At 43.9% G+C, this 24,519-nt stretch overlaps 1 long non-coding RNA gene across 1 annotated transcript, besides 1 other annotated feature; it reads right to left on the reverse strand.

Moving 5' to 3' along the window:
- Nucleotides 1-9: 9 nt before the first annotated feature.
- On the reverse strand, nt 10-24,519 carry LOC124904244 (uncharacterized). Its single transcript, XR_007066281.1, has 2 exons — nt 20,421-24,519; nt 10-2,127 (listed from the first exon to the last, which is right to left on the reverse strand). It is a non-coding gene; the product is annotated as an uncharacterized LOC124904244 (long non-coding RNA).
- Nucleotides 14,297-14,499: a silencer, noted in NCBI's record as "fragment chr18:9697747-9697949 (GRCh37/hg19 assembly coordinates)". NCBI's record gives its function as "represses an EF-1alpha promoter that drives an FKBP-Casp9 reporter gene in an ReSE screen in HepG2 liver carcinoma cells and phorbol 12-myristate 13-acetate-treated (for megakaryocytic differentiation) K562 erythroleukemia cells {active_cell/tissue: HepG2 | K562(+PMA)}" and the evidence as "EXISTENCE:reporter gene assay evidence [ECO:0000049][PMID:32094911]".

Raw genomic sequence — 24,519 nt, forward strand, 5'->3', positions numbered from 1 at the left:
TTAGGCAAATTAAATTGAGCAGAGTTTAATTGAGCAAAGAATGATTCATGAATTGGGCATCCCCCAGAACCAGCAGCGCAACTCCAGGGCCACCATGTGGCCGGATAACATTTATGGACAGTAAAAGGGCAGTGACTTACAGAAAATGGAGGTGAAGCACAGAAACAGCTGGCTGGCGACAGTTTGGCACTTAGTTAAACATGGTTTCAACAGTTGGCTGCCTTTGAGTGGCCAAAATTCGGCTGCTATAATTGGCTGAGGCTTGACTACTTGTTACAGGAGTGCCTTACAATCTGGTCACATGTCCAGTTAGGCTACAGTTCTCTGTGTATGGAAAAACATTTAGCCTGAACTTAAAATATGTAAGGAGGTAGCTTTAGGCTTAACTTAGTTTAACACTACTAATGTCAATGAACTATGAGGTTTTCTGGTCTGGCTGGTGGGAATAAGCACGATTCCTTGCTCTGAGTGAGCACTGTAAACCTCCAATCCTTTCAAGTGGCTCTCTCCCTTGTCTCTGATGACGCCTGCGCATGAATGTGCTGGTCAGTAGGTCCTCTGATGAATATTCAAGGATCCTCTGCAGATCTCCCAAGTCCTCTCTTTATGGAGCTCTCTCTTCTCTGGTGCTGATTCCCATGAACTCTAGCTGCCTTGATCTCCTGACTCTCACCTCTGTCTCCTCAAGTCAGGGATCTACCAGGCTTTGCCTCTGTTCTCCACTCTGCACCACAGCCTGGAAACTGTCTCAAGGCCACAAGATGGGGCAGTAGCTTAGGGATCACTCATTGTCCTTCGTTGCCTAAATCCATGTTTTGAAACTTTTTTTTTAAGTCTCATCTTTTGTTGTTGTTACTGTTTCAGGCAAGAACACAAATCTGGCCCCTGTTACTGCATTTTGGCCAGAGGAAGGAGTCTAGAGTCCCCCTTTCAATGTCTATATTTCTCTCAGAATCCAGTAAATGGAACTACATTAGATCTACATGCTAGTAAGAAAGCATAAAACATAGATAGTAAGATTATTTATGTATAAATAAGAAAAGCACTCAGACAAACACATTACTTCAAGATGTCAAAAACCAAGTGCAAATAGCTGCTCTGGATAAATTCTAACCTTTCCTGGTGGGCTGCATTTTCTGGAAAGATCGCCCCAGCTGAAGGAAGAAAAGGGATATAGGAATCACCTAAAACATTCAATAAGAACAGGCACAACTGTCTCAAACTTCCTTTTTATCTGTGGTGTGTCCTTCCTCTCTCTCTCCCTCCTTCTCTCCTAAAATTGCCGAATCTCAAACTGGCTTTTGGGCAACAAGGAAGACTAAAGTGTTTCTGTTAGTAGCTGAGAATTTGGTTTTACTTCAAGCGTATCTCTTTAAGTAAAATAATACTATGAAAGCAAAACATATCAGTATTTCAAAATGTTTCTGTTTCAAAACCCAAACAACAATCTTTGAATACTTAACTTTCATAATTCTGTTTTTACCAGATGCTGGAAAACATTGAAACCAAACCAATCCCCCAGAAATGTGTTCCTAACCACAACTCCGTGTAGGCAGACAGACAGAAGTTATGTCAGTTCCTGGAAAAGAAAGGCTTAGGCGCCACATTTAACCATTTCACCTTCTTGGTTCGTTTGTTCTTGGTCTGTCTCTCTTCGGAGGTAGCGAAGGCCAGGTGTTAGACACATCAGTCCTCTTTCTGCCTCGGTTTGGACTGGGCTTCTGGATTCTTACTGGTCTGCCCTGGGTTTCCTGGAGGCCTTTCTCTGGCTCCTAATCTCTTCTCAGCTGTGCCCAGGAAGAGTGGGTGTCCCTGGGTTCTTTCCATGTTGGCCTGACCCCAGCAGAGCCGGAGGCTTAGCTGCAATGTGCACTGTGACGTGGTGAAGCACTCCCTTTGTGTCCTATTTTGAGACTCCTCTCTCATGGTTCCTGGTTCTGGGTGCCCTCTGCTCTAAGTGTCCCACTCCAGGGGACTCCTTCTCTCTGCACAGTCCACATGCACTGCAGGAGATACCCAGATCCAGCCTCTTCGTTTGCATGTGACTACAACTGTGGTAGGTAAATTTCAGGAGTGGTGTCCTGGTCAGGTCCTGCAGTGGAGACAGGAGAGGCAGAGAAGGCCAGCCTGTAGACAGAAAGAACAGAAGAGAAAAAGGAGGAGGACTTTGCACTTCTGAAGCAAGCCCCTTCCTGACACCCAGATGTTTCATCTCCTTGACGTTAGGAGATATCATTGAAGCTGCTCGATAACTGTCTCCTCTCAGCTACCATTTTTTTCTGGCCTAATCTAGCTCTCCAGTTGGTTCCTATTACATGGCACAGTTATTATTTTTAAAAAATCAATTCTAATTGCTTGGGGGAAGTTAATGATGTAATATTTTCTAGGTTTTGAAAGTTATGTGCTAGGCCGGGCTTGGTGGCTCACGCCTGTAATCCTAGCACTTTAGGAGGCTAAGGCGGGCACATCACCTGAGGTCAGGAGTTCAAGACCAGCCTGACGAATATAGTGAAACCCTGTCTCTACTAAAAATACAAAAATTAGCCAGGCATGGTGGAGCGTATCTGGAACCGCAGCTACTCATGAGGCTGAAGCTGAAGAATCACTTGAACCCGGGGGGCAGAGGTTGCAATGAGCCAAGATCGTGCCACTGCACTCCAGCCTGGGTGACAGAACAAGACTCTGTCTCAAAAAAAAAAAAAAAAAAAAAAAGTTATGTGCTGGAAAAGTGCTATCCAATAAGAATACAATGTGAGTCATATGTTACTTTAAATTATCTAATAGCCACATTTGAAAAAGTAAAATTAAGCAGGTTAAACTCATCTTAATAATGTATTTTACTTAACCCAATATATCCAAGATGAGAAAAAAACATCTGGGCCTTCAAACTGTGTTCTATTATCAATTCTTTTTTTAGAGACAGTTCTCACTCTCGCCCAGGCTGCAGTGCAGTGGCACAATCACGGCTCACTGTAGCCCTGACCTCCCAGGCTCAATCGATGCTCCCATCTCAGCCTCCTGAGTAGTTTGGATCACAGGCGCCTGTCACTGTGCCTGGCTAGGTTTTTTTTTTTTTTTTTTTTGTAGTGACAGAATCTCCCTATGTTGTCCAGGCTGGTCTCAATTTCCTGGGCTCACATGATTCTCCTGCCGCGGCCTCCCAAAGTGCTGGGATTACTGGTGTGAGCCACCATACAGAGCCCTACAATTAGTTCTTGTCAATGTAAACTTTTGTATCCAAGACACTTAGTTATAACATGCAAATAAAATGGTTTATTAGCTTGAACCCTTATTCTGGTTTTTGTAAATACATTGTTGCTGATGAATATTAAAGAAACTCATGAATAGCTCTTAGCAGAACTTTAGGCGATTGCTTAGAAGTGCTGTGATAGTTTCCACCACGGAAATAAGGGTGAAGGAGAAGAGTTGTTCATAGCGGCTGGTGAGTGTCTCATCAGCTCTCTCTTCACTCCCTGGCTAGAAGCCACTGGGTGAATATTAGTTCCTTGAATTATGGAATTGGGGTCAAACAATATAATCCTACACTAGGAAGAAGGAATTTAGTGTAGTAAAAAGAACACCAGAGGATGGGCACGGTGGCTCGCGTCTGTAACCCCAGCACTTTGGGAGGCCAAGGCAAGCAGAAGTAAGGAGTTCGAGACCAGCCTGGCAAACGTGGTGAAACCCCATCTCTACTAAAAATACAAAAATCAGCCGGGTGTGGTGGTGGGCGCCTGTAATCCCAGCTACTCCGGAGGCTGAGGCAGGAGAATTGCTTAAACCCGGGAGGCGGAGGTTGTGGTGAGCCGAGATTGTGCCATTGCACTCCAGCCTGGGCTACAAGAGCGAAACTCTGTCTCAAACAAAACAAACAAACTAAGAACAACAACAACAAAAAACACCACCAGAATTTTAGTCAGAAGAAATTGTACGCTAGTCCTGTTTCTGTGTGACCAAAGGTAATTACTAATTGCACCCTCTGAACTTCTTAGTCCTCAACTAAAACATGTGGATGCCAGACTGGGTAACATGGCAAAACTCCGTCTCTACAAAAAATTACAAAAATTAGCTGGGTGTGGTGGTGCGTGCCTGTAGTCCCAGCTACTCGGGAGGCTGAGGTGGGAGGATCACTTGAGCCCAGGAGGTGGAGGCTGCAGTGAGCAGAGATTGCACCACTACAGTCCAGTCCGGGTGATAGAGTGAGACCAAGTCTCAAAATAATACTAATAATAAAAACAAATACGACAAGTGGATGCTTCACTGGCTTGCTGGAGGGGATAATGACCTCACAGATTCAAAAGCAGTTGACATGTAGTGGATGTTCAACAAACATTCTCCTTGTCCTTCTCATAACTGAGACACGAGGATAATACACATTACAATCTACATTTTTCTAGGTATAAATTTTTGTTCACAGAGCTGTTCAATATATAGTGTCTTCAATGGCATATTCTAATGAGATGTGATACATCATCGGAGGACCTTGATTCAAATCCCACCTGCCATTTGCAAAATATTTGTCCTTGAATGAGTTCCTTGAGGTATCTGAAATTTGGTTTCTCATCTCCCAACAGCAAGGTATTACTAGCTTCCCCACGGGGTTATTGTGAGGGTTAAAAATGATGCACACGCGCGTCAGGGGCTTTGTTTGCAAGTGAAAAGCTCAACCTCAACAAGCCTAAGCTCCGAGGGGGAGTTTATTGGCACGTGCTGAGGCAAGGCAGAGGTGATCTGGTCCTGGGGAACAGCTGCAACCTTGGACTTAGACACTCTATTTCCTCTGTCTCTCGGATCCGTAACCAGGTGTTGGCACTTCTGTTCTGCTCAAACAGTTACCAAGAAAAGGGCCAGACCTGGGTTCCCGAGGCTTAAAACTCTCCAGTATGAATGCTGTCTCCTCTTGAGTTTTCACAGCCCTGACCATGCTCCCTAAAGCAGCTTTCATGCGCATGCGCCATCGCTCATGCGGGATGTGGGTGTGGTCATCACAGACCTTCCCACCTCTATGAAATGGGGAAATGGAAGCGACACTGAGCTCTCCTGGATTGACTTGGATATATCAATTCTTTCTCTCCTCGGTGTGCACTCTTTCTCAACAGATGCATCGCTGAGAGGCTAACCGGGAGGTTCAGTCCCACTGAGTCATCGACTCAGTGTGTTCAGTCATGCCCTTGCCTTTATGCAGATAAATCCAAGTCAGCCTGTTCGGTTTTTCTTATGCATAAGAGAAAAAATATACAGTCATGCATTGCTTACCAATGGGAATATGATCTGGGAAATGTGTCCTTAGGCGATTTTATCATTGTGCGAACATCATAGGGTGTACTTAGGCAAACCTAGATAGTACTATGTGGTATAGCCTACTGCTCCTAAAGTACAAACCTGCAGCAGATTACTGTCCTGAATACTGTGGGCAGTTGTAACACAATGGTAAGTATTTGTGCATCTAAGCATATCTCATCATAGGAAAAATGCAGTAAAAATACAGTATTATAATTTTGGGAACACCGTCATTTATGCAGCCCATTGTGGACTAAAATGTTGTTATGCGGTGCATGACTACATACATGCACATGTTTATCTATTATTTATAAATGCATAGTGAATAGTTTTTCTTCTGACTCATTGAAATCCCTGAAACTCATTTTTTAAAAAATTTAACTTCAAGTTCCGGGATACATGTGCAGAACGTGCAGGTTTGTTACATAGGTATACATGTGCCATGGTGGTTTGCTGCACCTATCAACCCGTCACCTAGGTTTTAAGCCCCAAATGCATTAGCTATTTGTCCCGATGCTCTCCCTCCCCTTGGCCCTCCCCCAACAGGCCCCGGTGTGTGCTGTTCCCCTCCTCAAGTCTATGTGTTCTCATTGTTCAGCTCCCACTTATAAGTGAGAACATGCGGTGTTTGGTTTTCTACTCCTATGTTAGTCTGCCAAGGATCATGGCTTCCAGCTTGATCCATGTCCCTGCAAAGGACATGATCTCGTTCCTTTTTATGGCTGCATAGTATTCCTGGCATATATACACCACATTTTCTTTATCCAGTCTATCATTGATGAATCCCTGAAATTGTTATTCTTATTAATATTAAATTAAGTTTAGCCTAAAGCTGCCTCCTTATTTATTTTAAGTTAGGCCTGAAGGTTTCTCCATACATAGTGACCTATGAGTAAACAAGACTCTAACCTATTTTGGTAACAATTGGCCAAGTTTCTGCCAATCGCAGGCAGCCAACTGTTCAAACTGTGTTCAAATAAAGCAAACTCCAAGCTGTGACCAATCTGGCTATTTCTGTACCTCCCTTCCATTTTCTGTATGTCACCTTGTTTTTTCTGTCTATATGTGTTATCAAGTCATGTGGCAGCCCTGGAGTTGCTCTGAGGGTTCTGGGGGCTGCCTGATCCATGAATCATTCTTTGCTCTTTTAAACACTATTCGATTTAATTTGTCTAAAGTTTCTCTTTAAACATTAATTTTTTTTTTTTGAGACAAGGTCTCATTCTGCCACCCAGGCTGGAGTGCAGTGGTGCAATCTCAACTCACCGCAACCTCTGCCTCCCGGGTTCAAGCGATTCTCCTGCCTCAGCCTCCCCAGTAGCTGGGATTACAGGTGTCTGCCACCATGCCTGGCTAATTTTTGGTATTTTTAGTAGAGATGGGGTTTCACCATGTTGGCCAGGCTGGTCTCAAACTCCAGATCTCAGGTGATCCACCCGCCTCGGCCTCCCAAAATGCTGGGATTACAGGCGTGAGCTACTGTGCCTGGTCTTTTTAACATTAATTTTTTTTTCTTTCTTTTTTTTTTGAGACAGAGTCTTGCTCTGTTGCCCAGGCTGGAGTCCAATGGTGCAATCTTGGCTTACTGCAACCTCTGCTTCCTGGGTTCAAGCAATTCTCCTCCCAGTAGCTCAGCCTCCCAAGTAGCTGAAACTACAGGCACATGCCACCACGCCGGGCTAATTTTTTGTATTTTAGTAGAGACGAGGTTTCATTGTGTTGCCCAGGCTGGTCGTGAACTCCTGAGCTCAGGCAATCCACCCGCCTCAGCCTCCCAAAGTGCTGAGATTACAGGTGTGAGCCACTGTGCCCAGCCTCTATTTTTATTTTTCAAGACAAGGTCTCATTCTGTTGACCAGGCTGGAGTGTGGTGGCACAATCACAGCTCACTGCAGCCTTGACCTCCCTGGGATCAGGTGATCCTCCCACCTCAGCCTCAGCTGGGACCACAGGCCCATGCCACCATGCCCTGCTAATTTTGTGGGTTTTGTTTTTTTTTTTTGTAGAGATAGAGTTTCACCATGTTGCCCAGGCTGGATGAATAACTTTGGTTATTTCTTGCATATATCATGGTATTTAAAGTCACAAGCTTTGGATCTAGGACAAATGTGACTTTCAATCCTGGTTTCATTGCTGCCTCACTGACATTTCAGGTTAACCTCTCCCTTCAGGCTTGGTTTCCCTACTGAATTACCTCACATATGATCTGATTTGCACCAACAGTCCTGTGAAGTATTAATAACCACAATTTATGCAGAGACATCTGGAGCACATATGCTTGCTGATTTGTTTCATTATTTATTTGTATGTTCATTCTGGCCATGACCCCAGTCTTCCAGAAAAGCCAAAATCCCAGACTTCTATAAGAAATCAGTAATATGTAAAGGAACAAAGCAGAACAAAGACACCTAAAACTGAATATAAACAGAAACAAATAAATCTAACTGTACATCAAATGATTACATCACCACACAGAAATAATAAATAACTAAATTAGCCTCTGAACCCCGTGCTCTGATTGTACAGCCTTGGTAGATAGAAAGAAAAAAAAGACTGTGGAGAAATTTTGAATTTACTTGGTAGTTTCATTGTTGGAAGTGGCATTGGTTGAGTGATACTGAAATTATTTTCTGTATATTGAGGGATAGATAAGTTACATGTTGTAGGGAGCCAGGGTTCTCCCTGAGGGGAGAGGGAAATACCAGTAGGTCATAGTGAGAAAGAAGAGCTGTGGTTGTATTAGTGTGGGCTCATAATTGTTGTTTTAATCTTATCCATTGAAAGGGCCTATATACCCTCTCCAATATCATTGAAATACCTAGCACAAAAATCTTGATGTCTAAATACCATTTCCCATTAAAAGGAATCATAGGACCTTAGAGAAATAGCTGACAGCTATAACTGACTGGTAAAGTAAAAGGTGATCTGAAACCATTTTTTTTTTTTTTTATTGAGACAGAATCTCAATCTGTCACCCAGGCTGGAGTGCAATGGTGAGATCTTGGCTCATTGCAATCTCTGCCTCCTGGATTCAAGCGATTCTCCCGCCTCAGCCTCCCAAGTAGCTGGGATTACAGGCACCCACCATCATGCCTGGCTAATTTTTGTGTTTTTGTAGAGACAGGGTTTCACCATGTTGGCCAGGCTGGTCTTGAACTCCTGACCTCAGGAGATCCGCCTACCTCAGCCACCCAAAGTGCTGGGATTACAGGTGTGAGCCATCGCACCCGGCCCTGAAACCTTTACTATGTCAGATACATATTAAATACCAAGGGAAAAGGTACCTTTACAATGAGAAATCTAGCAGACATACCTTAACCCAGTCAGCTTCACCAACAATGGGATAAATTTACCTCTGTGCTCCCTTTGCACAGAGGTAATATTACCTTTGCAGTATTCTTGCCAAAATGTTAACCTGAATCTTATTAGGAGGAAACAAGCAGTCAAATACAGATTGTGTGACACTCTATAAGACAAGTAGCTCTTTAAACATGTTAAAAGTCTTGGAAGATAATACAAGCCATGAAATTCTTCAAGATTAAAAGAGATTCAGGCTGGATGCGTTGGCTCAGGCCTGTAATCCCAGCACTTTGGGAGGTTGAGCAGATGGATCACCTGAGGTCAGGAGTTCAAGACCAGCCTGGCCAATATGGTGAAACCCCATCTCTACTAAAAATACAAAAAATTAGCCGGGTGCAGTGGCGGGCTCCTGTAATCCCAGCTACTTGGGAGACTGAGGCAGGAGAATTGCTTGAGCCTGGGAGGTGGAGGTTGCAGTGAGCCGAGATCATGCCACTGGGCAGCTCAGTGCACTCCAGTCTGGGCGCAACAGAGCGAGACTCTGTCTCAAATAAACAAACAAACAAACAAATAAATAAAATGAGATTCAAAGAGACATGATAAATGCTAGATCCTTGATTGGATCTTGGCTCAACCATAACAATAAAAAAAATTTTAAAGACTATTATTATTTTATTATTTTTTTCTTTTTTCTTTTTTTAAATTTTAATTTTTTTATTATTATACTTTAAGTTCTAGGGTACATGTGCACAACGTGCAGGTTAGTTACATATGTATACATGTGCCATGTTGGTGTGCTGCACCCATTAACTCGTCATTTACATTAGGTATATCTCCTAATGCTATCCCTTCCCCCTCCCCCCACCCCACAACAGGCCCCAGAGTGTGATGTTCCCCTTCCTGTGTCCATGTGTTCTCATTGTTCAATTCCCACCTATGAGTGAGAACATTCGATGTTTGGTTTTTTGTCCTTGCGATAGTTTACTGAGAATGATGGTTTCCAGCTTCATCCATGTCCCTACAAAGGACATGAACTCATCATTTTTATGGCTGCATAGTATTCCATGGTGTATATGTGCCACATTTTCTTAATCCAGTCTATCATTGTTGGACATTTGGGTTGGTTCCAGGTTTTAAAGACTATTATTAAGACAGATGGAGAAATGTGACTATAGAGTGTCTATTGGATGACATTAATTAATGTATTAATATCAATGTGAAATATCTTGGGAGTGATAATGTTACTATAGTTTTATACGAGAATGTTTATGTTTATGGGACATACATGCTGAAGTATTTATGGGTGAAATGTGATGAGAACTCTAATTTATTTGTAAAAGGTTCAACCAAAAATGTATGTGTGGTTTAGCCATATATCTATATCTATACAGAGAGAAAGAGAAAGCAAAGGTGGCAAATGTGATCAATTGGTGAATGTAAGTGAAGGGTATCTGAATGATTTGTTCTATTTTTTCCATTCCTCTGTAGCTTTGAAAAATTTCAAAATAAAAAGTTGGGGCAAAACTACAAGGTGACTTCTGGTATAATACTGCCAATACTACCAATCTCCTTTCTGGCAGCAGCCGCCTGGCTAGAACATTAGAGTGGGTCCAGAGAGCCTCTAGAGAGAGACCATATTGCTTTTCCCTGCTTGTTCACATAAAGTTTTAAGACAGACTGTAAAGTTTGTTGGAAATAAGTTCAGTCCTACAGTCCAGAATCCAGAGTTGGAAAGGGGCTTAAAGTCATATAGTTCAGTAGTTGCAGACTCTTGGATTTTACACACTAATATAAGTTAAAAAGATATGTATGTATACACACACACAGAACAAAATAAAACAAAAAATGAAGGGGCTGACCTCAAGTTGCTAATCCACTTTGTCTAGTAATGACTGACATAAAAATTTAAAAAACCCATCTATCATTCTGTTTTCATACTTATGTCATTAAAAATGTCATTTTTACCACAAAAAGGCAATCTATTATTCTCAGAGTTAAGTTTTTAAAAAATTGGCCGCATTCAGCCCTGCGAACACACACCTTGTCCTTCTTCCCTTCCTTCTTTCCTTCCTTTATTGACAAATAAAAACTATATAGTTATGGTGTACAACATGATGTTTTGATATATGTATACATTGTGGAATGGTGAAATCAAGCTAATATATCCTTCACTTTATATGCCTATTGTTTTTTTTGGGTGAGACTATTTAAGATCTATTCCAAGCAGTGTTTAAGCATAAGATCCATTGCTGTTAACTATGTAGTCAGCACATTGCCCAGCAGGTCTCTAGCTCACTCGTGGGTCAGGCTGGACAGGAAAGGGGTGGCAGGCTGCTGAGTCGCCACATAGGTTCTGGGGAGCAATTCCTCCTATGGAGGTCATGTGGCTGACGTCCTGACAGGTGGCAAGTCGGCCCCTAGAGGAGGAGGACAGCTAACTCCTTTCCCCAGAAGCTCTTTCACCTGGACATCTCTGTCAAGACTGAGTCAGCCGGGCATGGTGGTTCACACCTGTAATCACAGAACTTTGGGAGGCTGAGGTGGGAGGATCACTTGAGGTCAGGAGTTCAAAATCAGCCTGGCCAACATGGTGAAACCCTGTCTTTACTAAAAATATAAAAAAATTAGTGGGGCGTGGTGGTGGGCACCTATAATCCCAGCTACTCGGGAGGCTGAGGCAGGAGAATTGCTTGAACCTGAATGGTGGAGGTTGCAGTGAGCTGAGATTGTGCCACTGCACTCCAGCCTGGGCGATAAAGTGAGATTGTCTCAAAAAAAGAGAGAGAGAGAGAGTGAGCCACTCCTTTAGATGAGTTGGGATGGGTTGCTCTGCTGCATCCACACTTTGTTAGTTAATCTGCCATGTGGAGCTTCTCAGAATTTCGAGGCACTTCAATTTTGCTCCCCAAGTAAGGTCAGGTATGAATACGAAAAGAAGTAATCCAGGAGCTGATCCTTCTATTCTTTGATGAGTATGCTTGCACTATTTGAAGGTTGCTGTTATGCTTTCCTTAATCCTCTCCAGATGGAACATACCAGTCTTTCAAAGATTCTTCTTAGTCTGGTGACAGGTGATGTGTTACATATTTCTTGGTCAGCCACAAGGTGCCAGGACTAGCATGGTGCTAGGTTACCTGTGGGGCCCTGTGGTGTCTCCACGGCATTGCAGTGACATGCTCAGTGAAGGGGACCTGTTAGGCATTTCATGAGTGGCTCAGAGATCCTCAGTGAGGGGATGTGGCTGTCTTCATGAGAGGCACCAATGACAGCCGTGTCCTCAGACTCTTGCTCCCACAGGGTCACACATCTGTGTCTCTCTCTGCACTTTGGCTCCAGGCCCTCTCTCACCTCATGCCTGAGACCCACCCCACAGCACCTGAGTCTACATCACCTTAGTTCCAGTTGCACATAGAAGCCAAGTGGACCCTCAGGACCTCAGGTCCAAATTCCTGCAAGAGAATTTCACTGGTGTGCCTTGGATCAGACATTTACCCATGCCTACCTGTGGCCAAGCAGTTGGGGTAGTAGTAAAGCAGTATCTGCCAGGTCTCCTGCCCCACCCTCCCCCTTTTTTTTTTTTTTAGAAGGAGCATTCTTCGGAGGAAAGAGTTTTTCTGAACTGGGCAGAGTCTTCATGAAAGCATCTGCTATAAGATTCTTTAACTTATGACTCTGTAAATATAGAAAAAGGAATAAATAGGAAAAATTGGACTCACTTTGGAATGGTACACTCAGTGTGTCAAACAATTAAACAGAAACACCACACACAGTCTGTGGCTGGCCCCGACGGCGGCTGGGAGGATGACAACTGTCCCGCCCTTCCTGCTAAGCCTGTCTTTCCTTTTGCTTAATCTCTGGTGGGGTCCAACATGCTGATCTCTGCTGGAATGGGCCCAGGCATTAGGATTAAAGCAAATTTCAGGGATTTCCATAGACACTTTATCTGTTAATTCTCAAAAGGCACTCAACAGTTGTCTCCTTAGTTCTAGTTGGCGCGTGTGTGAGTTACGTCGCAAGGCTGGAAGGCAGGAGGTTTGCATGCTTTCAGAATGCCCTGCGTGTGCATGTGGCAGGTCCTCATTATTCCTGTTAGTCCAAACTGCACCATTTTGTAAGCTCCCTGCTATTTTGCAGACCTTGGTCAAAGTGAAACATTTCACAAGGGTTTGGGCCACAAGAAACATCCTGCCTAACCACCTGACCACAAGGCAGACAGGCAAAGACCCAACTAAAGAAACACCCCTATCATATTCTGCTGGGAGAAAGGGCAAGGAACACCACATTCTGCCAGAACAAGGGCCAGAACCGCCTCATCATGGGAACATTTTATCAACATCCTGCCAGGCAGCAAGCCATACTGCCCAGACCCCTTCCACCCATACTTATAAGTATCCCCGGCCTGTAAGCAGTGGTGGGCTCTGGTGTTAAGCTGGTCCCCACTTCTGCAGGTGTCTGTTTAAGCTGCCCTCTCCCTCTGTGTGTGTCTTTCTTTCACCCTCGCCTTCCCTTCAAAACCTGACAGTCCCGGTGGTGGGCCTTCTCTGTTTGTGCTGTGTTTTCTCTTTTTCTCTGACCTTCTCTGAGCTACGGCTCTGAGACAGTTTACAACAGGCACCTGCCTCAACCTCCCAAAATGCTGGGATTACAGATGTAAGCTACCGCTCCTGGCCTAGAAATGACATTTTCATACCCCCAAGTAGGAAAGTAATACTCTCAGAATAATATAATTGGATACATTTCCTGCCAAGAAAAGTTTATCACATTACTTGTCCCCCCTCTCATTTTGCTGCAGATTGGTGGCAGTTTGTCACGGGCAACTTGGGAGCCATGTTTTAGGCATGATGTGCAATGGGAGATAGGAGAAGGGCCAGGCCTGCCCTCCATGAGCTCATCCCCAGGATTTCAGCTGGAGGCAACCTTCAATGGCATCTTGTCCAACCTCCTTCTCAGTGTCTAGATGAAAGAAATGACACAGCTGAGGTCTAATAATGGAGACACAACCATGACACAGTGTAAAATGTGGAAATCCTCTCAAGGAGGAATGAAAATGTCCAATGGGAATACTCTGAACTGGGCAGAGGAAAGAGAAAGCAGGGAGGCTTGAAGAAGCCGCATATAAACTAGACATTGAGGAGTGCTGTGATGTAGGCCAATGCTTCTCCAACTTTACTGTACATCAGAATTACCTGGAGGGCTTGTGAACACACAGAGTCCAGTTTCCAAATCAGTAGTCTAAGGAGAAGCCTGCATATTTGAGCTTGTAACCGTCTCTCAGCGAGCAGTATGGCTTGCTGCCCGGCAGGATATTGATAAAATGTTCCCAAACTGTTTCTGCCGAGCCTGGTTTGGAGACTCGAGATGCTTCGAGAATCACCAATTTAGATGTCCAGAGATTTGGGACTTCGGCAAAGGTACAGAGACCAAAAGGTAGGGTGGGTTGGCGCAGGGAAGGTGGGTAGGTGGGATTCTGTAGAATAGTGAATGCTATGCTAAAGAGTTTAGACTTTACTTGGATGGGCAATGGGAAGGTGTACAAGAGTTTTGAACAGAAGAATAGAATTTAAAATCTTCTCTTTTTTTTTTGAGACGGAGTTTTCCTCTGTAGCCCAGGCTTGAGGACAGTGGTATGATCTCGGCTCACTGCAACCTCTACCTCCTGGGTTCAAACGATCCTCCCACCTCAGCCTCCCACGTAGCTGGCGTTACAGGCACACAGCCACCACGTCCAGCTAATTTTTGTATTCTTAGTAGAGATGGGGTTTCACCATGTTGGTCAGGCTGGTTTCGAACCCCTGACCTCAAATGATCCACCCACCTCGGCCTCCCAAAGTGCTAGGATTACAGGTGTGAGCCATCTCGTCCGACCAAGAGTAGAGTTTAAACCAGTATCACATAAGAAGGAGTGAAGTGTGAATATATTCTAGAACATGGATGAACCTTGGAAACATTATGTTAAGTGAATGAAACCAGACACAAAAAGACACATATTGTATGATTCCATTCATTTTTCTCAACAAATATTTTCTGAGCATCTAGGGTACATCCTGGTGCAAGCACATCTTGTTATTGTGGCCTGCTGGGGCTGGTTTAACACACCAGGTGTTTATATTGTTTCTTTTCCATTTTCTAGATACACCTGTTTTCTATTCCTGGTCTGAGCTACAGCCCTCCTTCTCAAATCTCTTGGATAGTAAGGAAGTAATGCCTTTTTAATTTCTTTTCTCTGGATCATGCCCTGGGATTAGGCTAGATAATGCATCCAGACAAGGACCTGGACAGGTGATAGCATGGTCAGTGAAATCTCCCCAAAGTGTGGCCTTCTCCCCTCGGGCCCACAGCCCCACTCATTGGCCTTGCTATTCTGTTCTGAACCACCGTCTTCAGCTCTGACTTAACTCTGCCTCTCCACCTGGCCCTTCTTTCTGGTTCTGCCACTTCGTGGGCACTAGGTTAACCTTATGGACCACAGCTTTTCTGCTTTGGACCTGGATCTGTCTTCTCACATTTTTATTTTTATTTTTTAATTATTACTGCCCTTTCCTCATAACATTAATGGGACCAAGTCCGTGTTTATACACATGAATTCTCACACCGGGGCCACAGCAACAGAAGTCTGGGAAACAGCCTATTTCCTAAAAGGGTCAGGGTGCAGAGGTGAGCTCGGACTGCAGGCTTCCTGAGGCCAGGACTCCTCGATGACCTTTTGCATCTCTAGCTCCTGGCTGCATGTCTGGCACATAGCAGTACCTAATTCATATTTGGGAGAGCAGAGTCAGAACCCATATGTGTGCATCCTGAGTGGGGGATTCAGGGCAAAAAATATTAGCTGAATATTGTATTAATTGGGGTTCTCTAGAGAAGCATGAACTAATGGGAGATGAATAGATAGATAGACGGATAGACAGATAGATAGATAGATAGATAGATAGATTGATTGATTGATTTTAGGGAATTGGCTCATGCTATTATGGAGGTTGGCAAGTCCAAAATCTGCAGGGCAGGCTGCAGGCTGGAAGCTCTTGGGAGAGTTGCTGCTGCAGCTTGAGTCTGAAGGCCCTCCGCTGGCAGAATTCCCTTTTCCTCTAAGGAGGTCAGTCTTTTTCTCTTAAGACCTTCAACTGATAGCCGGGTGTGGTGGCGGGCACCTGTAGTCCCAGCTACTCAGGAGGCTGAGGCAGGAGAATGGCGTGAACCTGGGAGGCGGAGCTTGCAGTGAGCTGAGATCACGCCACTGCACTCCAGCCTGGGTGACAGAGTGAGACTCCATGTCAAAAAAAAAAAAAGACTTTCATCTGATTGGATGAGGCCCACCTACATTAGCAGAATACCCTGGTTTACTGCAAGTCCACTGATTTAAATGTTAGTCTCATGTAAGCTATCTTCACAGAAGCACTTAGAATAATGTTTGATGAAATATCTATGGCCTAGCCAAGCTGATACATAAAAGTAACCATCACAGGCTGGGTGCGGTGGCTCACGCCAGTAATTCCAGCACTTTGGGAAGCTGAGGCAGGCAGATCACGAGGTCAAGAGATCGAAACCATCCTGGCCAAAATGGTGAAACCCTGTCTCTACTAAAAAATACAAAAATTAGCTGGGCGTGGTGGCGCATGCCTGTAGTCCCAGCTACCTGGGAGGCTGAGGCAGGAGAATCCCTTGAACCCGGGAGGCGAAGGTTGCAGTGAGCCAAGATTGTGTCATTGCACTCTGGCCTGGATGACGGAGTGAGACTTCATCTCAAAATATATATATATATATATAATTGTTGGGTTTGCTGTTTACTCTTTAGGTAAGAACTGTAGGGCACGAAAAATAACCTAGTTGAGAGGGAAATGTGTTTCACAGACGTGATCTCACATGTTCTACAAATATTTATTATTTTTACTCTTTGGGAGAAATTCTTCAGCCCTGCAGGGAAAATACCAAAATGTATTTTCTGAATCCCCTCCAGTCAACAGGGAGAAATAGGACCAGTGTGTGTGTGATTATGCCAGCCAGCACTGACCTGCTCATCTTTGCAGCTGATTCTCTATGTCAAGCTTTGATATTTTATTTCCCAGTCTGTTCAACATTTTTTTCCTGCATATCCTCAGTAAGGCCTCAAACTAAAAACTGAACGCATGGGATGGTAATTTACATGTTTACTGAAGTGCATGGGCTTAAAGCCTGTCTGTGGCCCATCAGGGCAGATCTTTGCAGGGACTCTGCCTCAGTTTCAAGAACAATGACACCTTCCTTTAGGCAGGGGGACAGTGACATCTTTGACATAAGAAGCCTGGCAGGGCCCATGGGTACCTGGTACTTAGCTAGTAATTAACACTGAATAAGTGTTGCTGTGGTTACTTGCATCAAGCTTGCTTCCAGACGTTCACAGTCAAAAGAGAAGAGTACTCCTAGATAATCCTTAAACCTTCCGTTTAAGTTTCCTTTTCTTCCCTTCCTTATCCTCTATATGCAAATTTACATTTGGCAACCAGCAGGGAGCTTTCAGATTCCTTATCTCTCACACCCACCAGAACCTAATTTTGTTCATGGAGAGTAAAATAAATATTGCATTGGGGGAAAGATATGTGAAGGAACCCACGTGACAGAGAATGGCTGTCAGGATATGAACATATATAAAGTCAGACAGTCTGATTCTAAAAGAGCAGTTTATTATTGTTTGAGCAGCCTGACCGGGCCTTCTCCTTTCTGTTCCGCTAACCAGCACGGAGCTTTAGGTTTTACAACTCTGATAAGCTGATAAGTGAAAAAATCTTTTTTTTTTTTTTTTTTTTGGTGGCAGTCTTGTTCTGTTGCTCAGGCTGGAGTGCAGTAGTGCAATCTCAGCTCGCTGCAGTCTCTCCTGCCTCAGCCTCCCGAGTAGCTGGGATTACAGGCATGCACTACCACGCCCGGCTAATTTTTGTGTTTTTAGTAGAGATGGGGTTTCACCATGTTGGCCAGGCTGGTCTCAAAACCCCTGGCTTCAAGGCCCACCTTGGCCTCCCAAAGTGCTGGGATTACAGGTGTGAACCACTGCACCCAGCCGAAAATTATTTCTTGATGCTTTAATCTGTATGTTTACTTACTTGTGAAATTGAACACCTTCTTCATACATGCATTTCCTACTTGTGAACTCCCTGATTGCATCTGCTCATTTTTCCTAATGGACCTTGGTGGTTTTGTAAAAAATAATAATGATAAATAATAATCTATTAGTTCTTTCTATATTGATTATTAACCGAGTCATATTTATGCCAAATATTTTCCCAGATTGTAGTTTTAAAAATTGTGTTTATGATATTTCTTCCATTAAGCAAGTGTTAACTTTTTGGTGGTCGAACCTGTCAGTCTTTCTCCCTGTGATTTTTGAGAGTAAATCTGCATTTCCTTCTCCCCGCTTCCTCCCCCATTTAGGAGAAATGGAGCCAGGGCCCCTCTGTCCTTGGGCTACCCACAGTAAACCCTCGGCTAATCTTTTTTTTTTTTTTTGAGACGGAGTCTCACTCTATCGCCCAAGCTGGAGTGCAATGGCGTGATTTTGGCTCTGTGCAACCTCTGCCTCCTGAGTTCAAGAGATTCTCCTGCCTCAGCCTCCTGAGTAGCTGCGATTACAGGTGCCCGCCACCACGCCTGGTTAATTTTTGTATTTTTAGTAGAGATGATGTTTCACCATGTTGCACAGGCTGGTCTTGAACTCCTGACCTCAGGTGATCCACCCGCCTCTGCCTCCCAAAGTGCTGAGATTACAGGTGTGAGTCACCGCGCCCGGCCTGCCACTGACTAATCTTGATGCCCCACTTTTGAACATCTGCTGACACTAGAACCAGGGGAGGTTCCATAGCCTGAAACTCAGGAACCACATGTGGGCTAGGGGAAGAACTGTCTGGAGGAAGGCCAGCTTCCTACAAATCTTTACCCAAGGGAGGGTTCTGCCTTAAAGTCCTTAAAATGCCCTCTACCAGAGCTACTGAGGGTTGGTTCTTAGGGTAAGGTTCAGTTCAGTAGAAGAATATGACACTGAACACAAGTGTGCAGGAGGGGAAGGGCGGGGAGTCAGGAGAGGGCCACAAAAGGGGCTGGGGCCCCACCAGGAGACTGGGAAACCAAGCCCTCTTTTCTTATTTCCTATTTTTGTTCCTTTTTTAGACCCAGTATGTCTTTCAGTAAAACAATGGTTACTTAGCTGAAGTTAGAATTTGCATATTTAAGCCTCCCACGTGAACTGAGTATAAGATGGAGAATCATAAGTAATTTAGATGTGCATAGCTATGCATGAAGTAGTTACGCTGTTTTCTAAATGTGGAGTCGTTTTTACATTCAGAAAAACTGAGGAAGGAAGTGAGGATGTTTGGAAGTCAGCACTTCCTTTTTAATGGATAGTAACAACCCAAAACAGTTTTATGGGCTTAGGGAAGGGGACAAGGTAACAACAATTGCAGTTCACCTGCGACTGAAGTTTCCCAGAATGCGGGACAATCAGGGCTAAAACCTGGACAGTCCCATACAATCAGGGCTAAAACCTGGACAGTCCCATGCAAACTGGGATGTTCTGGACTTGCTATTCACACACACACACACACACACATACACACACACACACACACGCACACACAGCATTGTGTGTAACCCTCCCCCAAAATAATGCAACAGCCTTTCAGTATCCATCTTTGACAGAGGATGGAACTACAGGTTGAAGAGACTCAGATAACTTCCTTAAATTCACACAAACTGGGCATAAAGGAGCCTGCATGTAAACTTGGTTCCGTCTGATGTCAGAGGGCCCTTTCTACCCTCCATGCTTGGGATTTATCGGTCGGGTCGGTGAACTCACTCTCTCACCCACCCACTCACCACATATTTTCAGAGTGCAGAATATATGCTATGCGAAGGATTGGATTATGGATGATTCAGAACAGGCTCTGTTATATTGGTAATTGGGAAAGCCCATGAATAGCAAGGAGAATAGTAGTTCAAGAATAATCTTAAATAAAATTTATGGGAGGACTGAACTCTTACACTAGGCCCAACGGACCAGACCAAACCAGAATGGAGTCACTCCTGCTAGGTGCCAGGCTGTCCAACGGAACTTTAAAAAGGGCAGCTTTTCAGAAAAATAGGAGATGCACAGCAGCTAATCAGAAGGGGCCCAGTTTACCTGAGCAGGTTTGATGAGGAAGTCCCCCATGCTTTAACCCTGCAAGGGAAGTAACTCTGAAACGCCAATCTACCTTTCGTTCCCTGTTTCTGCTTCTTCAGCCTTTCCTGCCTATAAAGTCAAGTCTTTTCCCTAGCTCATTGGAGCACATTTTCTCAATTTTTGGATGGGATGCTGCCTGATTCATTAATCAGTAATAAAAGCCAATTAAATCTTTAACGTTGTTGAAATTTTGTTTTTTTAACAATAATAACCTCAGTAGAAATAAAATTTGCAAGAGTTCTAATGTAATTGGAGCCTTAAGGCAACTCAGTTAACTATTAAATACTTAGTACAGTAGTTCAGTACTCTTAGTACAGGTTAAGCATCCCTAATTTGAAATCCAAAATGCTCCAAAATTCGAAACTTTTTGACTGCTGACACAATGCTCAAAAGAAATGCTCATTGGAGCATTTTGGATTCGGGATTTTTGGATTAGAGGTGCTCCACTGGTAAGTATAATGCAAATATTCCAAAATCGGAAAAACGCTCCTGGTCCCAAGCATTTTGGATGACGGATACTCAACTTGTACGCAGATATTCTTAGAGGCACTTCAGATTAGGAAGAGTCTGCATTAGGTTCTTCCTTATCTAGGGCAGTCTTGGGAATTCAAACAAAACACAAATCTATTTTCCCCCCATCACAAACACACACACTCACCTACCAGTTGACTAGGTTCAAACTCCAACCATCCTGATCATCTTCTCCTTTACTTGGGGGTTGATTTCAGTTGAATTCAAGGTTTGGCATCTCTGGAATTTATACCCATTTCTTGAATAAGAAGATCTACAAAAATGAAGCAACTACACCAAGCCTCAGACATTTCACATCATACAATAGTCTCCTGTTTATATGTTTGTCTCTTTCCTTTATAGCTCGACGTCAACGTGGGTCTTCTTCCGCCATTGGTCATTCTTCCAGTGTCTAGCACAGTCAGTGTCTGCTATTTGCCGAATGGGTGGGTAAACAGCTAAACATAGAAATCCCTGTGATATGAGAATCGTTGCCAACATCTAAAATTAAACCAATTTTTAGTTTGAGAGCAAATAATATCAAGGTACAAAAAAGTGAAACACAACTCCTTTTAAGAAAAAGAAATCCTAAACTCCGTGTATTACTCTGAGCAATTGCAGGAAAACTTCTGACTCGCCAGAAGAAATAACCCAAGACAGTCTATGAAACGAAACTGGGGTTGTGGTGACTTTGATCTGCATCATTGTAGTTTAATTTCTCAGTTTTACAAGTAAGCAATGAAAATGAACAGGACTGACTGAATTACATGTTACTTAGGGCTTTCGGGAGGTGGTCACAGCTGAATCAATCCGTTTACCTTCCATGGGAGGTGTTAATATATATCTTATTGCTTATTTTCTTTTAACCCAACACTTTAAGCTCAGCCAGAGATCCAAGGGACAGTGGAGGTTGCTAGGCAGGAGTGTCAGTAAAGAGGCCAGTTGGATGCTGAGGATGGCTTAAGCTGCCCAGTGCTGGCTCTCAGGAATCTGGAAAATTTAAACATTATCACCTGACACCAATCCTTTGTGAGATCCCAACAGAGCCTTCCCTGTCTTCAGTGAGAGCTGTCTACTTGTTCTGGAACACTTCTGAGCACTCCCATTTGAGGCGATGGAGACGATGAGGAGGCGAGCCCCCACCCTCCCCATCTCCCATCTAAGATGTCACCACACTTTCCACATGAAGACATCTGGAATTGCAAAGGAGGCTGTGCAGTTTCTATCCGCTTACCTAATAGCCCCTCCACCGAGCAGCCACCTTCCTTGGGGTTCTCAGGGACGCTCCCTTTCCCACAGACAGGCTCCTTCAGTTTCCAGCCTCCCCCCTCCAGCTATTGTCTCCTTTTTCAAGTCTGTGGGTGAATTGTGGGGTCCACTCACCTCTGTTTTTCTAAATCCCTCAAATCCCTTTCCTACCCTGGTATGTCCAGGATTCATCTCCTCAAAATTTGTTTAAAGGGCGTGGGTTACAAATAAGGTTAGGTAGCACATGCTATTTAGAAAGTTTCAGAAAGAGAAGGAAAGAAGGAAGGAAAGAAGGAAGGAAGGAGTTGTTACATAAATGAGAAATACTAAAAGGCTGTTTAACTGATATTGCAGACACTATAGTTCCATAAAAAAGATAAATTATGAAAAACAAGGTTTGTAAACATTTTTATCTTTCCTTAATTGGCCCTTGAGCAGACCAGATGACTCAGTACTGGTCTCCAGGGATCAGCCTGCACTCCAGGGCGTTGTGACACATTTATATTGCTTATCCTATTTAACATTTTGAGTCATATTATTTTCACAGAACCTTATTTACTATAAACGTCTCTATAAATCTACATAGTATACACATTTCATTTAATATCTAAGTAACATATACTATTGTACACCATCAAATATACCCAGTAACGACACCCTAGCTTGCTTAATCATTCCTCAAGTGTTAAGAGGTTTGAGTTACAATTAACGCAACAATCCTCCCTTTACCTCCATGGATGTAATTTTTTTGTTGTTGTTTCTCTAACCCATTTATTTGTTTTTTTTGTCTGCATATGTGTTTATATTCAAACAGGCAGCTTTGTTTACTTTTCGTCTTTGTATGTTATTGTTCAAAAAAGGATTTCCTGAATCAAAAAACATGATCAGTTTTATGACCATTACTGGCTTTTTCTGTTGGAGACTTTATAGCAGCAGAGAAGTTGAGGTCTGAATTAGCACAATGACCATTTACGTTACAAAATTCTTATAAGAAAAACTTGCATGTTCTATTTCTTAATTTGATAAATTGTCAGTTATGTACCATTGAATTTTTACCCCTGCTGAAGTTACACCAGAACTACATATTTGCAGAAAATTCCAGAGAAGTCAGGATGGGCCCTTAGTACAGTAATCATAGAGTGTAACAATAGAGAACATGGCACTTTTTTAAAAAGTCGAGAGCTGCCTCTGACGTGTCACTCTTAAAATATGTCTCCCAGCAGTCATCTTCCTGCCTTCCAGGGCTAGAGCTTTGTAGGTTACCTTAGGGTGATCATGGGGACCTGGTTTTCATGAGGCCATGTTTAAGCTCAGGGGTGACCTGGCTGGGAAGAGGGTATAAACCCATGAACACGAGTCAGTTGACAGACTAGGATTGCCACTTTGTAAAGAAGAGCCCAAGACCTGATCAGAATGAGACACAAATGAGGTCATTTTTAACAGAACTAGGGGAGGGGAGAAGGACAAATAGACTGGGGCGATTCTCAGGGAGGGAAGGGCTGGATACGAGACTCTTTTGGGAGAGCCTAGAAACGACGCAAGCGTCCCAGACACCCGGGCTAGTGGAGAAGAGAGCAGAATGAGAGCAGTCATGAAAAAGAGTAAGGGAACACAAGAGAAATTCGGTTTGCCTATTTCTGTCTGGGCACAGTTCTGCCCTTAGCAATCTAAGGCAACTTCACAAAGCTCCACTCACTGCACGGGATGTAGAACACAGTGGAGGCTTCCACCCTGGTTTGACTGGCTTTTGGGAATCAAGCTGGAAAGCCAAAAGGACATGTTTCACTGTGGAGGTGCCCTCAGGGCTGGCGAAGGCCTTGGGGGAGGTGTCTTTGCAACTGTGTAGGGGTGGTTTTCTGATTAGCAAATCTGAGGGCAGGGAGATATTGTGATCAGGACTGTTTGATTCTGGGGAAGCCTCTTTTTACCCTGCCCACATAGAAGACTCTGCTTTGGATACAGAGTCAAGGACGGATACTGATACAATGGACCTGTAACTTGTCCATGGCTGCCTTTTGTACAGTTTAGTCCATTTGAGTAATCTCTACAAGCCTGCACCTCGAGGGCAAACTTCCTGCTCTTCTGGGGAATTTAATTGTGAATTGTCTGTTTCGGGGCCCATTTTGACTCCTGTATTCCAGGACTTATCTCTTTGGAGGCCTTGATTTGGAATTTCCCATTGGATGGGGCTACTTGGGTACTGGGTAGCTTCAACCTGGCTTCCGTAAGAACAAAGCCAGATGATCACGGTGGGTGGTCTGCTAGGAGAATGGAAATGCCATTGATTAAAATTGGAAGGTTAAGAGAGAGGCCTGAGAGTTTGGGATAGGAGATGAAGTTTCAAAAAATCAGTTTTTAAAAAAACATTTCCCATCTGAAATGCCAGTGAATTGTTCAGATAGATTACATTGAAAAGGCTGACATTTCTGTAGCAGCAACGAATGAAGTCATCCGAGTGGATGAGGTGCTCTAGGCCATACATGGAGAAGAGAACACAGTTACCCAAGCCTCCCCGACTGTGTGCGGCCACAGACTCTGCTCATTTCCCAGTTAGGAACGATGCAGGGGTCTGCTGGGATCTCCACGTTTCTACCTGTACCTCTGAGGACTGGGTTTCTGCCCACACGAGTTGCAGGATTTGCTCTACTGAGAAAAAGACTTTTGCTCCAGAAAGCAAGTTTCCCGTTTCAGACACGGACAGCGAGTTTTGCTTCTAGAATCATTTTCAGCTGCATACAGAAAAATGAACTTGGCTGAGCTGAAGAGCCACACATATGTTAAACGGAAGCTCGGGTATTAGGAACGTCGAGAAAGGCAGGCCGAAAAGTTAGCCCCCTTCTCCTCACCCCTGTCCTCACAGCGGCCCCTTCAGTGGCCTGACTTTTTCTGCGTGGGACCCAGAATGTCGCTTGAGGATGGGACCCCCGCAGACCTCCACGCGCTGCCACGCAAACGGCCTCGGCCGAGAGCATTCGCTTTCCAGATGAGAATGGCATCTT

This window comes from Homo sapiens, chromosome 18 (genome assembly GCF_000001405.40).
Source record: "Homo sapiens chromosome 18, GRCh38.p14 Primary Assembly".
Lineage (NCBI taxonomy): Eukaryota > Metazoa > Chordata > Mammalia > Primates > Hominidae > Homo > Homo sapiens.